Below are 16,860 nucleotides of genomic sequence, written 5' to 3' on the forward strand. Positions count from 1 at the left end.
TCAAAAGCCCTGGACAGTTTGTACTCCCCTTGTTCTCAATCTCCAATCACCCTCAGGGCGTGAGCAGCTGCAAACACTGGCCTCGCCTCCCTAGCATCCTGCCCTGGAAGTTCTTCATCCTCTTTTTGCTCTATGATGCCTTCAAGCAGGTGACTTTTATATTTTTCCAGCTTTTCTAATTGCCCTCAGTAGGACGGAGGCATGAATTCACTAATTTATCATGATCACAAGAGGAAGTCCTTCACTGAATTCTTAAATTCAACTACCTTATTTTCCACTTTTAAAAGTATAATTTGGTTCATTTTCATATATCCTTGGTTGTTTCATAGAATGCTGCCTTTTTGATATTTTCAACCCCCTCTTCGATTTCTCCCAATGTATTAAACACACTGACGTTATGCTCTGTAGCTGATAATCCCAGCGTTGGCTGTGGGAGCTGTGCTCTGCTGGCACTCACCCATGGAGCGCTTTCCTGTTTCACTCGTGTGTTTGGATTTTTTTACTGGATGTTTTTCCTTCTCAGGTCTTCAGAGTGGGAATGCCTTGAGACCTGGTTGAAGGTGGGTCCCTCCAGAGAGGATTTGCATTGCCTTCTGACAGTTTTCCGGGGCACTTTAACCCAGAACCTTTTTTTTTTTTTTTTTTTTTTTTTTGAGACAGGGTCTCACTCTGTCACCCAGGCTGGAGTGCAATGGCGCAATCATGGCTCATTGCAGCCTCCAACTCCTGAGCTCAAGTGATCCTCCTGCCTCAACCTCCTGAGTAGCTGGAACCACAGATGCCACCACACCCAGCTTTTTTTTTTTTTTTTGTACAGATTGGGGGGGGGGGGTCTCTCTATATTGTCCAGGCTAGTCTTGAACCCCTGAGCTCTAGTGATCCTCCCATCTTGGCCTCCTAAAGTGGAGGGATTACAGGTATGAGCCACCACACCTGGCCCAGAAGTATTTTAAACTAAATTCTCAGTTTGAGGAGTTAATGGCCTATCTGGGTGTTGTAAATCCCAGCTGCAAAGCCATGTGCTGCTGGTTTGTGAGTACAAATACTCAAGAGGAGGTATTTTCCCCTCCCCCTCATGCCAGGCTTAGAAATGAGCAATTCTCCTTGAGGCCTGGTGATGAAGAGGTAGTGGTCGACATTTGCAGTTCATCCTGACGATGATGACAACACCTTTTATGGTCCCACCTTCCGAGTAGCTGAGACTACAGGTGCCACCATGCCTGGCTAATTTTTTATAGAGACGGGGGGTCTCACTCTGTTGCCTAGGCTGGTCTCGAACTCCTGGGCTCAAGTGATCCTCCTGCCTCGGCCTCCCAAAGTGCTGGCATTATAGGCATTAGCCACTGTGCCTGGCCTTAAAATCATTTTTCTAAATGCACCAATGATATGGCAGAGAAGTAAGGAATTCCCAGAGTCCAAAAATTAAGTCAAAGCAGGAACTCCGAGAGGTAACCAGAACAGTGAGGCTAACTGTCACCCTCGGGCATTTGCAGACCCTGGTGACTTTGGGCTTCAGTTTTCATGGCCTCATGGATTGTGGGGACAGAAGACAAGGCCCAACACTTGCAGAATGAGAAGTCTAAAAGGAACCACCCCCCCACCACCATCTGCATGGTTCTCTCTTCTATCAGTTAGGATGAGATTCAGCTACACAGATGACCAAATATATATATATATACCCATACACACACACACACACATACATATGTATATATGTATATATATATGTGTATATATGTATATATGTATATATGTGTATATATGTATATATATGTGTATATATGTATATATGTGTGTATATATGTATATATGTATATATATGTGTATATATGTATATATGTATATATGTGTATATATGTATATATGTGTATATATGTATATATGTGTGAATATATGTATATATGTATATATGTGTGTATATATGTATATATGTATATATGTGTATATATGTATATATGTGTATATATGTATATGTGTATATATGTATATATGTATATATGTGTGTATATATGTATATATGTATATATGTGTGTATATATGTATATATGTATATATGTGTGTGTATATATGTATATATGTGTGTGTATATATGTATATATGTGTGTGTATATATATGTATATACATATGTGTATATATATATGCAAACGAATGGGGGAGAGGGAGGGAGGGAAGGAGTCCTACAGACCTAACAAGAATGGGTGATTATTTGTAATAGCAAAGTACTGGAAACGACGCCACCATCCATCAGCTGGGCCTGTTTGAACAAGCTGGGGCTGACCTGCGTGTTGGAATACTATGCAACTAGAGTCAGCATGCTGCCCTGGGCACCCCAGCATACCAAGATACACCCAACAGTGAGGCACACGACAATATGCCATTTTTTGTATAAAAATGTGGGGATATGAATACACATATATTGTTTAATGAAAAAAGTTTTCCATAATATAAAAAATCAAAAAGAAAGATCACTGCCATCCCTAAGAATCAAACAAACAGAAACAGATGAACCAAACCATATAAAAGTTGGCGGCATAATCATATATAGAAGTATTTCAAGTGTCTTGAAACACAGTATTTTGGTTGACCGGACGTGGTGGCTCACACCTGTAATCCCATTTACTCAGGAGGCTGAGGCAGGAAAATCGCCTGAACCTGGGAGGCAGAGGTTGTGGTGAGCCAAGATTGCACCACTGCACTCCAGCCTAGGCGACAGAGCAAGACTCCGTCTCAGAAAAAAAAAAAAAAGAAAAGAAAAGGAAAGAAAAGAAAGGAAAGGAAAAGAAAAGAAAGGAAAGGAAAGGAAAGGAAAAGAAAGAAAAGAAAAGAAAAAGACAAGACAGGAAAAGCAGTATTTTTATTGTACACACCTGGTGGGATATATGTGTTTTTTTTGAAACACAGTCTTGCTCTGTCACCCAGGCTGGAGTGCAGCGGCGTTGATCTCCGCTCACTGCAACCTCCACCTCCCAGGTTCAAGCGATTCTCCTGCCTCAGCCTCCCAAGTAGCTGGGACTACAGGCGTGCACCACCATGCCTGGCTAATTTTTTTCTATTTTTAGTAGGGACAGGGTTTCACCACGTTGGTCAGGCTGGTCTCGAACTCCTGACCTCAAATGATCTGCCCACCTCGGCCTCCCAAAGTGCTGGGATTATAGATGTGAGCCACCATGCCCAGCCCAGAGTCAGAATATTCTTAATTGTGGGTCACTTGCAGAAGTTGTTGGGGACTGGCTTGTGACTCTGAAGGGTGATGTATAGAAAGAAGACTCACATGGCTATCTGGCTATTCCTGCCCCACCTGTTTTTTATGGTGACCAAACAGTCGATGAGGGAAAGCTCTTCTGTTACCGAATTCCAACTAGGAAATGCAGGAAGAATTATAGAATCGAATCGAAAAATCACCATTTTTAACCCTAAATAATGGATCTAGGTGATAAAAACACTGGGCAAAAGGATACTAGAGAATTCTATAAAGGCCAGATCAGGCCGACACCATCTGAATCTGCTGATCAGTCTTACCGTCGTCAAGAGGTACACGAAAAGGGGCTCAGCATCACCAGCTGTTAGGGAGACACAAATCAAAACCGCAGTGCGGTGCATCACACACCTATCCCATGGCTGAACTAAACCACAGCAGATGCCGGAGTGGGTGTGTGGAGAAACCAGCGCTCACCCATCGCTAGTGGATATGTCAAACCGGGCAGCCACTCGGGAAAGCAGTTGGCAGTTTCTTACAAAAACACACATCTATAAAGGGGTAGCACGGGGTAGCAGAGTGGTGAGGAAACCGCTCTGTAATTTGATTGCACTGGCAGTTCCATGAATGTACACAGTGATGAAGTTGCATAGAGACGCACATACACGAGTGTGCGCACACAGGAGACACCCGAGCATCGATGTCGCGTCCAGGTTCCGGTTGTGCCTCGGGCGTTCAAGTAGCCAATGTCAGAGGGACCTGTGGGGAGGGGCCACAGCCTCCCAGGCACTTCTTACCAACGTCCTCGTGAATCTAACAGTTTAAAAAGAACAAGTTAAAAAATATTCCGGCAGAAAAAAGAAAAGTATAAATGAAAAATGTGGGCGAACTGTTGATGCCAGCTGATGGATCCACAGGGTTTCATGAACTCTGTCTTTGTTTATGTTTGAACTTTTCCATGATAAACCATTTCTTAAGAGTCACCACGAAATGAGTGTCTGGTGAATAAGTGAAGCATTCATGAATGACTGCAGTCCAACTCTGTCCTTCCAGAGATAATGCGAGCGAGATCCCGCAAGGGGAGATGATTGCTCAAGGTCACGCGGAACAGTCAAGGCTACTGAGATTCCGTCTAGCTCTTTCTCAATGTGTGTTTTTAACTTTACACAAGCAGGACATTACTTTTAAAGGAAAAGTGACCATAAACTGAGGGCTGCAACATAGGAGGGGGGAAGGGCAGAGGGAGACCCAGGATGCCAGCTTCGCCTAGGGGCAGGGGCGAGGCAGACAGCCTGGGGAGGTTAGAGGCTCTGCTGTGAGAGGGTTTCTGCAAGATGAAATCACTCAAATGCCGGCTGTGTTTGGACATCTTGAGAGAACATTTCCACACACGGATGGGGTCTAGGGTTGAGTTCGTGATACGAGCAAACAGCTACCCAAAGGACAATGATTAACTCCTGGGAAAACAAAATGCAGCTCGCATGGCCCCACCGTGAGCAGCATTTATGTGGCCGCATAATTTCCAAGCATGGGGATAGGAAGGGGTAGAACAGCAAAGGTTTGGGGGATGGGACTGATGGAAGCCTTCGAGGAGGCCCCCAAGACGTGGGCGGACCCTTGTCTTGGCACACTCCTGCCCCTACATCCTTCGGGCCCCAGAGCTCCCTGACACCACTGGACCCACCGCCCCCCACCACTCTGCTTCCTGCCAGCCCTCCAGATGGCCTGTCCTTGCCCCCTGTGTTTGCTCCCTCCTGAGGTCAGCCCCTCTGCAAGGACACCGGCCCTTCCCCTCTGGCTAGGTTAGGTCAAGGACTTGGCCTCTCCAACGCCCACTCCTCTCAGTCACAAACAGGGACACCTCAGGCACCAACCTGTACCCGAGCTCAGCCACGGACACATCTGGGCCCCCAGAAGGGCCCTCAGCTCTCCAGAGCCAGAGCAGGCAAGGGCGACAGAGCGTGTGGCTTTGGCGGCTGGGCCAGGAGGAGGGAGGGGTCCCTACTGCAGGGTTTAGCCCTTTCACACTTCAGCAGAGAGCAGCCGCCCCGTCAGCACCCACCTGCTGCTGTCCTCAGAAATGGGGTGCCTGTCGGGGTGTGCTGGTCCCCAAAAGATGTGTCCACATTCTGGAGCCTGTGAGTGGGACCCTTTTAGGAAAGAGGGTATCTGCAGATGTGATGACAGTAAGCCTACATGACGGGGGGCAGGGGGTGCCAAATCTAATGACAGGCATCCTTCTGAGACACAGGAGAGACAGAGAGGAGAAGGCCGTGTGGAGATGGAGGCAGAAATTGAGGAAGCCTGGAGCCCCCAGGAGCTGGAAGAAGCAGGAAGGATCCCCCCTAGAGACTCGGCCCTGCGCACACCTGGATCTCAGACTTCTGGCTTCCAGAGCTGTGAGGGAAGAGATTGCTGCTGTTTGAAGCCTCAGGGTCCATAGTCATTTCTTATGGCAACCATGGGACACTCATTTGGTGAGAAAAAGCCCCTTGAAACACACAAGTGGTGGGTGCCGTGGATCAAGGGCCGCCAACCACAGTCAAGCCCCAGGGCCGCTGGCTGGGCAGACTGGACCCCACAGAACCAAGCCACATGGAACACCCCCTGACCTGGAGGACAGGTCCCTGTCAGAACTGGCTCAGGAGGAACTCACTGACTGCGAGGGCCGGGCTGGGCTGGGCCACCGGGAGGAAGGCTGGGGACACAGCCAAGGTGGGGGAGGGACAGGCAGACTGGAGCCCCCTCCAGCTACACCCTCTTGCTCACAGGACCGTGCCTCCTAGCCAGACTTCTGGAAAGTCTTCTTGACAGTCACCTGCCCCAACCAGGTGTCCCCCCCTTCTCCTTCACCCCCTTTGGACAGTTCCCTTCTCTCTCCCATGACCCTCCTCCATGGCCTGGTGCTTCAGCTCCATGACCTCTGGCTTCAAGTAAGGGGGAGGGGCAGGAGGGACTGGGACGGCCCAGCAGCCTGTTCTCAGAGGCTGGCACCGTGAGCAGGAGAAATGAAGGGCAAAGCCAGGAGACACCAAATGTAGGTTAACTGCAAGGAAGGAGGGAAGGGAAGGCCATGGCAGAGGCTCCATTGTGCAGACCCACCCCACTGAAGGCTACAGGCTGGCCAGAGCCCCAGCGCCTCACAGGCCTAGGAGCCCGGGCTTACCATGAAGCCCAGTAGCCACAGTTTCTGGACCCCAGGGAGGTCTCACGGCTGTACAGGCACTGCCACCCAGGGTCCTCCAGGTGCCAGAGGACAAGAGGTTGGCGAGTCAGGAACCTGCCACAGCCATGCTCGTGCTAAGGGGCTCAGAGGATGCCTGGGCCCAGGTGCACCCTGGCTTGGAATAACCTGACCTTCATTCAGGTAACCTTCCGACTCCCCAGCTAGGATATCAAAGTCATGGCGACAGACACTTGGTCGAGTCCACTCTTCTATCACCAGCACAGGTGCTTCAATATGTGTTGAATGAATGAATGAATGAATGAAGAGGTTCAGTATTTCCTGCAGGGAGCAGAGGGTGGTCTGGGCAGCCTCTGAAATGGACGACTGTTGTTGAGGCATGGCTGGCGTACCCTCCCCCTCTTTGAAGGGTAGACGGGGTACCCGGGGGAAAGAGCCTTCCACTCACTGCCCTGGAGCCAAATCTCTTCCTCTTGGTCAGTCTTCTCGCGCCACCCCTCCGGGCATTGGCCCAGAAGCCACTTGCAAAGCGGCCACTGCCCGGCAGGTCAGCAGTCCAGGGGGTGAGACAGCCCCTGGCAGAGCCAAGGGAGGAGAAAGAGCTGGAGTGTGAAGGTGGGTGAGGAGGGGCTGGGGAGGAAGAGTCGGGGGGTCTGGGAGCGGGGAGTTCCCCTCTCCTCCCTGGGTCCCGGCCACCCCCTCCCAGTCTGGCTGGCCTGGCTGCCCCCCAGCTCCAGTCTCCCGTTCTCCTCTTGTCCCAGGCTGGCCCACGATGGGCAGGCGAGGTAGCCGGGGCACAGGGGAGCAAGCGCCGTCCCACAGCTGTGGTCCTGCCCGCTGTGCTGGGGGCACCTGCCAGGCCAGAGGCAGCTCCCTCCTGGGGACAGGTCAGCAGCAGGCCCCCAGAGGCCCAGCAGGGAAGTCCAGGGTGAAGCCAAGCTGTCCATGGGAAGTGAGCGAGTCCCCCAAAGGACTGAGCCAGTGGGAAAAGACCAGGCCAAAGGGGGCTGTGAGCCACCTTCACGGCAGGGCGGGAGCCAAGGCAGCACCTCCCCCCAGGGCCAACTGTGGAGCCACATGGTCTGAAGGAGGTGGAAGGAGAGTTGGGGGACCCTCCTCTGCCTTAGGCTGGCTCAGCTGGCCAGGCTGGCTGCGGGATCCTGGGGGCAGAGGCCTTTCCCACACTGGCATCTAGTTGAAAAAGGAGGTTCAATGAGTTTAAGCGTCCTGATCTGGAGGACAGGGACGTTAGGGCTTTGCATTCACCAGGCACCGGTGTCCCCTTAATATACCGAGGGTTCAGCGCTCCCATGTCCCAGCCTTGCCCACCCAGCCCTGGCTGCTGGGAGCTGAGCATGAGTTAGGTGCCCCCTTGGCCCCTGAGAAACCAGAGCTCAGGGGTTTCTTTTCTTCAGAGACCCTGGGCCCTGGCCAGGAGCACTTGGCCCACAGCAAGGAGCCCTCAGCAGGCCTGTGCTCCCAGGACGAAAGCCGTCCACCCAGGGCTTAGGGGAAGGGCGGGGATGCCGCTCAGGGAACCTCCGGCTGCAGGGAGCAGGGCCCCCAGGGGGCCCAGTGCAGGGACAGCTTCGGAGCCCCTTTCCTCAAGCAGAGGCAGGGAGGTGCCCAGTGGCCTTCGGCTGTGTGTCCTGGTGCCCAAGCTTGCCCCTTCACCGGGGCGCTGTGGCTGGGGCCTGGGCTGTTGAGACGTTGTGGGGTGACTGGTTTGTGCCCCCACTGAAAGATACATCCATATCTTAACACCCAGGCCCTGTGATCAGGGCCTTATATGCAAATAAAGGGTGTCTGCAGATGTCATTAAATTGAGGATGTGGAGATGAGAGCAACCCAGATGATCCAGGGGGCCCCAAATCCAAGGACAGTTTCCTTAGAAGGGACAAGAGAGAGAGACACAGAGAAGGCCATGTGGAGGCGAAGGTGGGGAGTGCCCAGGGCCCCCAGAAGCTGGAAGAGGTGGGTGGATCCGCCCCCAGAGCCACCGGAGGAAGCACTCGATTCTGGACTCCGGCCTCCAGAACTGGGAGAGTCAATTCCTGTTGGCTGAAGCCAAGCGGTTTGTGGTCATTTGCTGCGGCAGCCCAGGCCACTCCGACACGAGGGAATGAGCTGAGCCCAGAGTCCTCCTGGGCCGTGGAGGCGGGGGGCGGGGGGACCTTTGCACCCGCATCGTCCAGTAACCTGGTGGGGGCTGGGGCGACCTTGGGAAGGCAGCTCCCGTTGTCCTTGGCTCATTTCCAGAGAGCATGAGCGGCCAACCTGAATGGAGGCTGGGGAGTGAGCCCCTTAGGCCGGGGGCCCCTGGGAGTGCACCCCACTTCCACCGCAGGAGGAAGGGCCGTGTGCAGTGGGCTGCGGGTCCCACACAAGCCTAGAAATGGGGGAGCAGGGGCCACCGTGTGCACCATTGTTGGCACCGCGTGTGTGGACACATTGGTGGTGGAGGCAGCAGCGCGGTCAGCTGAAGAGCGCGACGCCTAGAGCAAGTGAAGACGACCTTGACAAGCCCATGATCCTGTCAGGAGATCAATCTCCCTTCCAGCATGTTTTCAGTTTTTTACTGTAAAGAATTGCAAACACATGCCCAACCTAGAGAGGATGACAGGGCACACCGGCCCCGCCGGCGGTCCTCACACAGCCCTCTCTCCTCTCCACTCCCCTTAATGTGGCCCCGAGGCCTGGGGCCTCCTGAGAGAGGCACCTCCATCTGCCTTAAGCAGGGACAGGGCCTTCCAGGCAGCAAACCCGGGTTCAGAACCTGGACCCTTGTCTACACCAGCCAGGGCTGGAGGTTGGCCCTCTCAGCCTGGGGACTCATAGGGGTGCCCGAAACTCCAGGAATCAGCCCCCTGGGCCCCCACTGGGCCAGGTCAAAGTCAGTGTGGGTGGGAGGTATTTGCAAGATCGCCATGCAGGAAGTAGGGTCCCAGGGAGAGGACAGGCCCAGACAGCCATCGCCGCAGGCATCTGCCCACATGGAAAGCAAGGCGGTAAGCAGAGGCGATGGAATGTGTGTCAACACCGTGCAAAGGGCCAGTGTGGCCGGGGCTGGGGCAGCGAGGGCGGCAGCCAGGGGCCTCAAGGGGCGGGCAAGAGGCCCGGGAGGCTGGGACTGCCAGGAAGGAAGCCAGCTGCTCAGCCTGGGGCGCCCTCCCCGAGGCCTGCCCGCTCCCTACCAGCCAGACTTCTAGCCAAGCTCCAGAGCTGGGAGCCCAGCTGCCCACCTAGCATCTCACAGGGATGGCCTTGCACACTACACACCTCCACCCAAGTGGAGCAATTCTGTACATTCAAGTACAATTCAGTTGTACAATTCTGTACAATTCAAGTACATTCTCAAGTGTACTTGAGCAATTTCTGATGCCGAGCTCCCCTGCCGCGCCACATCTATAGTGGCTCCAGGTGCGGTTGCCTCTTCTCTCCACACCCCTCCCGGGAGCACACACGCAGGCATGTAGGCTGCTCCAAGGGGTTCTGGAAGGCTCTGGCCCTTTCTTCTTCAGCAACCTCCTAAGGGGCTGGGTGAGGAGTGAGCGGCCAACACACATACATGCATACACACACACGTACACTAGCCTCTGCATTTCATATACATGTGAAAATCATTTGCTCCCCAATGCAGGTAACATGAGAGGCTGGGCCCTGCAGCTCTGAGGCTGTCTGCACAAACAGATCCTGAGAGAGAATAGCCTCAAGGGGTCTGTCAGCCTGTGGCCAAGTCAGATGGTCACGTCCTGTTTGCCCTGGGTGACTGGTCCAGAGGTGGGCCTCCCCGTGAGGACTCGACTGCTAGGGCCAGCAACCAGCACTGAATGCCCGTGGCCCAGGTATGGGGCAGAGTGCCTCCCTCCCTCCCCCAGCAGGCCTGCCTCACCAGGACCCTCTCACCCACACTCTGGAGGGTACACAGGGCCAAGAGCCGGGGGAGGGGGCAAGGGAAGGGATTAGCCCCAGGCAGCCAGCTAAAACGGGGTCCAGGAGCAAGGCGGCACTGAGGGGCCTCAAAGGCCAGCAGCATCAGGCTGGCAAGGACGCATACATGAGCACACACTCGGAACACGCGGGAGTGCCTGCCTGTGTGCCTGCAGGCAGGAGTGTGCAGGAGGCCGTGTGAGAGCCTGGGGAGGGCTGCGCCAGTGAACAAGGCAGGCCCATGTGTGTGTGTGTGTGTGTGTGTGTGTGTGTGTGTCTGTCTGTCTGTCTGTCTGCCTGTGCATGTCTGTGTCTGTGTACACACATAAGTGCATTTGTGCATGACCCAGGGGAGCAAGTGCGCCCTGCCTCAGGGACTCCAGGAGCCGAGCTGGCATTCAGGAAGCATCTTTAGGCTCTTGAACAAAAGGGCAGCCTCTGCTGTCTCCCTCCCCACAGCTCCCTCCTCTGAGGTGGCAGCCGTGTGGCACATCCCGGCTCTTCAACCTTCAGCCTCATTTTTATCCTGAATATCTACACACTTGCGTGCACACGCACATGAGCACACGCACAAACGCCCTGTGGTACAGTACACTCCAGGAATACTATGGACCATCTTTCTTTCTTTTCTTTCTTTTTTTTTTTTTTGAGATGGAGTCTTGCTCTTGTCACCCAGGCTGGAATGCAGTGACACTATCTCGGCTCACTGAAACCTCCGCCTCCCAGGTTCAATCAATTCTCCTGACTCAGCCTCCTGAGTAGCTGGGATCACAGGCGTGCACCACCACACCCGGTTAATTTTTGTATTTTTAGTAGAGACGGGGTTTTACCATGTTGGCCAGGCTTCTCTCGAACTCCTGACCTCAACTGATCCACCTGCCTCGGCCTCCCAAAGTGCTGGGATTACAGGCGAGAGCCACTGCGCCCGGCCTACAGACCCTCTTTCTAGGTCCCTGAGCAGGGGAAGTATTTCTGTGCCTCCGTGCTCTTGCCCATGCTGTGCCCCCAGCCTGCTACGACTTGCTTTCCAGAGCCACCTGGTGAACTCCTACTTTGAGCGGCAGCTCAGTGGCCTGCCGTCTTCCTCTGCAGAGCCAGTGGCTTTCCCTGGTCCTGTCCTACCTGTGGGTCTTGTGAGCTACTTGTTAAAAGTGAGTCACTTGCTCCTGAGACCTCAGCCACCATCCCAGTAACTATCACAGACCTAGATTGTCCCCAGAACCCAACTGAATTGGTTCATCCATTCACTCCACAGGCACGGATTGGGAGCTTACTGCATCATGCTTCTCCCTAAAGATAAGCTCTTAGTTAACATCACCAGCCATGAATTACTATACTGGAATACACACTCAGGAAAAGCCATAATGTAGACCAGGATTTAAAGAAATGCCATTTAACTAAGAAAAAACTAAGGACCTTGTTTCAATATCAGCCATGAGCTGCCACTGCTTGTTAAATATGAGTCTATGTCAGAGGCAGAATAAACAATTCATCAAACACCTCTTTAAGGAGTTACAAGTTTCTTATCAAAACCTCCAGCCCCATTTGTGCTTCTGTTATATCGGCATCTCCAAGTGGATGAGAATGTTCACTGGTAGCTTTGTCCCTTTTCCATGGTGAGGGGCAGAGGGAGGTGCAGGCTGTCCTTCCTCTTCCTCAGTCTCGGTCTGGAATAGCTAAAGAAAGCAAAACTACCTCCTCTGAGTTGAGTCTCTTTTCACGGAGACCCTCTTCTGTTGCCAGGCGCCAAATATCATGAAAACTGTAACTGGTTAAAAAAAAATCACCTGCATAAAAATCTTTAAAATTCATTTCAACAACAAAACTGTGTATGATAAAGGGTCATTCCACCAAGAAAACATAGCAATCTTAAATGCGTATACACCAAACCACAGAACTGCAAAATATGTGAAGCAAAAACTCATAAAACTGGAGGGCTAGGTGCAGTGACTCATGCCTGTTACCCCAGCACTTTGGAAGACTGAGGCCGGCAGATTGCTTTGGCTCATGAGTTCAAGACCAGCCTGGGCAACATGGCAAAACCCCATATCTACAAAAAAATATAAAAATCAGCCGGGTGTGGTGGTGTGTGCCTGTGGTCCCAGCTACTTGGGAGGCTGAAGTGGGAGGATCACCGGAGCCTGGGAGGTTGAGACTGCAGTGAGCTGTGATTATCCTACTGCACTCCAGCCTGGGCAACAGAACCAGATCCTGTCTCAATAACAAACAACTCTAATAAAACTGGAAGGGGAAATAGACAAATCCACAATTATGGTTGGAGATTTTAACACACTTCTCTCAAAAATTGACAAAACAACTAGACAGAAAATCAGCAAATTATAAAAGAACTCAACATTACCATCTATAAACAGGATCTGATAGACATTTACAGAACACTCTGCCCAACAACAGCAGAATACCCATGGGGCACATCCCAATATAGACGATATCCCAGGCAAACCTCAACGAATTTAACAGAGCTAAAATCATACAGTGTGTTCACTGACCACAATAGAATCAAATTCCAAATGAATCACAGCAAAATCTCCAAACACCAGGAAAGTAAACAACATGCTTCTAAATAGCCCATGGGTCCAAGAGGAAGTCTAAAGGAAAAACTTTTTAAATACACCAAAATAGTCAAAAACAAAACTACAAAACAGGAAAATTTGTGGGATGCAGCTAAAGCAGTGCCCTGGGGGACATTTATAGCACAAAAAGAAAGGCAATTTTTTCTCTCCCTAAAAAGGAATCAGTTTCTCAGAGGCAGGTTGGTGCATGGGAGAGGGTTGACTTGAACAATATCTGGAGAGCTCAAAGCTTTCAAAAAACATTAAACCCTGAATATATCGGGAAGCTGGAAGATGTTAGAGCACTTACATTTACTTTCCTGGATCCAGACTTCACATCGAAGAGTTTAATTGAACTCTGGGTCTACCTCCAGCTGGCTGAATTAGTCTGAACAAGAACAAGTCATTCAGATGTTCAGAGTCTTCATTTCCTCATCTGTGAAATGCTAAGACCCTCAACTTCACAGGGATCTTTTTGAGTTAAACGATAGAGCACTTAAGAAAGCTTCCCGAAACTCCCGAAGCACTGCATTCATTTGCTAGAGCTGCTGTCAAAAAATGCTGCACACGGGATGTGTGAAAACAGCACACATTTATTCTCTCCCAGCTCTGGAGGCCAGAAGTTCAAGATCAGGGTGTCGGCAGGGCTGTGGTCCCTCTGAAGGCTGGAGGGAAAGGTCCGTCCCAGGCCTCTCCCCTGGCTTCTGTCGGGTTGTGGCTGATCTTTGGTGTTCTCTGGCTTGTGGATCTCTGCCTCCACAGCAAGCTCTATACTAAGGCTGTACTAGAAAGTGTTAGCCTTGTCTCTATTGTATCCTTTGATATATATATACATATATATATAGCTCAACCTTGGCTGCCTCCTTGCCAGTTGGCCTACGTGGCTGAGAGGCGTTCTGCTGTCCCCGTCCTTGTGAAGGTATATGCACAGCTATGTGTGGACATAGTGTGGCTGCTCTGGCTCCGGACAGGGCCAGCTTCCTCACTGCTTCCAGCCCCATCTCACCCAGGGCCTCTGCAGCCCTGGGAGCAGCCAGGCTCTCGGCGCACATCTCTGAGCCTGCCCAGGAGGATTCGGGCAGTCACCCGAGCACCTGGTCCCTCACGGAGGCGCACTCTGCCTGAATCCCTCCTCCCAGATGACGAGCGCTCACACGAGGCTTCGGTTTCCTCAGTAACCAAGGCCTGCAGCTGACTGGTCACAGAATTCCAGGGAGAGGTGTCCCAGGGACCACCATTGTGATGACATGGCAGCTGGCCCTCCTCCTGCCCCTGTCCCCCCTTATTCCTCTAGCGCACGCCTAGCCAGCCCCTGGGGGGTGGCCAGCCCGCCTCAGGCCAGGCCAGCTGAGGGAGACTGGGAGGCCTGTGGCCAGCCTGGCCCTGGCAGCCACACTCTGTGCTCTCTGAGACGGCGCACAGCCACCTGGAGCATCATGAAACCATGAAGGGTGCCCAGGTGCCAGGAGAAGGGAGCAGGGCTAGGCCGGGGCTGGGCTGGGAAGGCCGGAGGGGCCTCCAACAGAGGTCAGGGTGCATTTAGAGAAAGGGAATGGCAGAAACAAGGGACTGACAGCAGCAACAGGGACCCAGCGGGCTCCCTGGAGCAGAAGTGGGGACAGGTGGGCAGGTGAGAGGCAGGGGGAGAAAAGGCTCAGTGCCCTCGGGCTCTGGGGCACGCCAGTGCACGGGAGAAAGGGATTCCACAGCAGGCCCATGGGCCTCACCCAGGAATTCCCAGTCTTTTCAAGACAGGACAAGGCCACAGAAAGAACGAGGCCGCATGGTACACACCAAGATGAGGGTAGGGGGAGGACCTGGGTAGGGGGAGGACCTGGGCAGGGAAGGGACTGCGGGGTGTGCCTCGAGTGCCACCTGCGGGCATGGGCCTCTCTGGGCCCCAATAGCGTAGCCAGGCAGAAAGCCGCCCCAGTTCGCCATGCTCCACTCAGAACTCGGTACCCAGTGCAGTGGCTCGCACCTGCAATCCCAGCGCTTTGGGAGGCCCAGGCAGGAGGATCACTTGAGCCCAGGAGTTCCAGACCAGTCTGGACAACATAGGGAGACCCTGTCTCAACAAAAAAAAAAAAAAAATTGATTAGCCAAGTGGGTGGTGCGTGCCTGTTGTCCCAACTACTTGGAGGGCTGAGGTGGAGGATCGCTTGAGCCTGGGGGTTGAGGCTGCAGTGAACTGTGATTGATCCACTGCCCTCCAGCCTGGGTGACAGAGTGAGACCCTGTCTCAAAAAATAAATAAATAAATAAACAACCCACCAGAAATCTGTGCCCAGGCCCGATGCCAGGCACCCTGGAGCACAGAGGCATCTGCAGTGCCCATGCCCTCACCAGCTGGCCGATGCCACGCGGGAGGGAAGCAGGGCACCTGAGGGGCATGCCCAGCACTGTGGGGCCAACAGGGAGGAGGGGAGGACACTGCAGGCGGGGAACACGGTGCCAGGACACCGAGCCAAGAAGCAACCTGCTGAGGGGGGTAAGGACCATGCCCACTGCAGGCCAAGGGGTGCCTGGAGGGAGTGGGGCATCTTGCAAAGGCTGGAGGGCCCCTCTCAGGCCAGGACATGACACGAATGTGGGGTTCCGCATCTCTCTGTCAGTGCGCCCCACAGCCCATCAGAGGCCGTGTCCAGCTGCTCCTCCAGGCCCCAAGCCTCTCATCGTCATCTGTCATCAGCGGCATCCCCCTCGCACAACCCTGTGCTCATGGACAGATGCCCACTCTCTCCACCGAGAAAGCATTGGGAGAGCACTGCTGGGCTGGGGACAGGACCTCAAGGGGTTGATTTCTGCTCTGCATGCTCACCCCCTCCCCTCCTCCTTTGGGGGACACCCCAACCCTGCCCATCTCCATCTCAGGCACCCCCTCCCACAATTGTGCTATAGCCCGGCTTCCTCCTTCAGTGAAGGGTGGAGGGAGCGCAGGGGGCCAGGCAGTGGCCCAGGAGCCCTGACCCACTCCCCACCCACTGCCCCATCCTACCTACAGACACAGCCGCACAGGGCCACCAGAGCAGGGATCTCAGGCTCTTTAATTCCTTCCCTCCTGGGGTCTACACACATTGCTACGGCCCCATCCCAGAGCCAGGCCGGGTGCAAAGCCCTGGAGACAGATGCCGCTCCTCCAAACGTCCCGTCTGCTCCTCAGCCAAGGACAGCAGTGGTCCGGGGCAAGCAGGACACAGGCATTCTGTGTTGGGTGGTCCTAGCAAAGGAAAGAAAGGACTCTCGTGCCAGCACCAGCATTGAGGGGAGGCTGGAAAGATGAGTGCCCTGCCAGGCAGATGTGGGGCAGCGTGTACAGCAGGAGGGTGCAGGCACATAGGCAAAGATGTGGGTGAATGTACTTTGCACATGTGATGGACATGAAGTGAGGGAACAGAGAGAGGACTGCAGCACGCTAAACAGTGCCCCCCCAAAATATCTGTCCACCTGGAGCCTCAGCATGTGACCTTCTTTAGAATAAGGCAAGGGAACACGCGATATCCTGCTTCGTTCTGGCAACTGCAAGGCGCGAGTTGGGGCTGGAATGTGGGCCTGGAGGAAGTCGGGGAGAGGACTCCGGGGAAGCGAGCAGGAGCCAGATGGCTCAGGGCCGTGGAGCTGGACTTTGTCCTTGAGGCCACGAGGGGCCACTGAAGGGGGCTGAGAGGAGAAGTGGCCAGGCATCTGGGCAAGGACACTTCCTCTGGCCTTGATGTGGAGGATGGGTGCGAGGCTGGGGCCGTCGTCCAAGCGAGAGGGGACAGGGCCTGGGTGAAGAGAAAATCCAGCAATGTGAGGGGTGATTATGGAGAGAGAGGAATCAAGGGCACCCCCGAGTTTGGGGTGTGGAGGGAAGAACTTTGGGACATCCAGGCAGCAATGGAGCTACAGGCATGGAACCCAGGAGACACTGATGTCACAGTCGTCCCCCAGAAGAGGGACATAAGAAAGAGACTTGGGACAAGTGGCCAGAGTGAGG

The 16,860-nt window shown here is 53.5% G+C and overlaps 3 annotated features.

Moving 5' to 3' along the window:
- Window positions 4,933-5,432: an enhancer, noted in NCBI's record as "H3K4me1 hESC enhancer chrX:152888899-152889398 (GRCh37/hg19 assembly coordinates)". NCBI's record gives its function as "activates a minimal SCP1, AML or CMV promoter by ChIP-STARR-seq in naive H9 embryonic stem cells {active_cell/tissue: H9 hESC(naive)}" and the evidence as "EXISTENCE:reporter gene assay evidence [ECO:0000049][PMID:30033119]".
- Window positions 8,487-8,631: an enhancer, noted in NCBI's record as "145 bp enhancer 232 fragment used in the MPRA reporter construct; PK_construct_2057". NCBI's record gives its function as "activates an SV40 promoter by MPRA in HepG2 cells {active_cell/tissue: HepG2}" and the evidence as "EXISTENCE:reporter gene assay evidence [ECO:0000049][PMID:23512712]".
- Window positions 8,552-8,565: a transcriptional cis regulatory region, noted in NCBI's record as "HNF4 motif; enhancer activity is reduced when this motif is scrambled". NCBI's record gives its function as "necessary for full MPRA enhancer 232 activity {active_cell/tissue: HepG2}" and the evidence as "EXISTENCE:site-directed mutagenesis evidence [ECO:0005528][PMID:23512712]".

The sequence above is a fragment of the Homo sapiens genome, chromosome X (assembly GCF_000001405.40).
Source record: "Homo sapiens chromosome X, GRCh38.p14 Primary Assembly".
Classification (NCBI taxonomy): domain Eukaryota; kingdom Metazoa; phylum Chordata; class Mammalia; order Primates; family Hominidae; genus Homo; species Homo sapiens.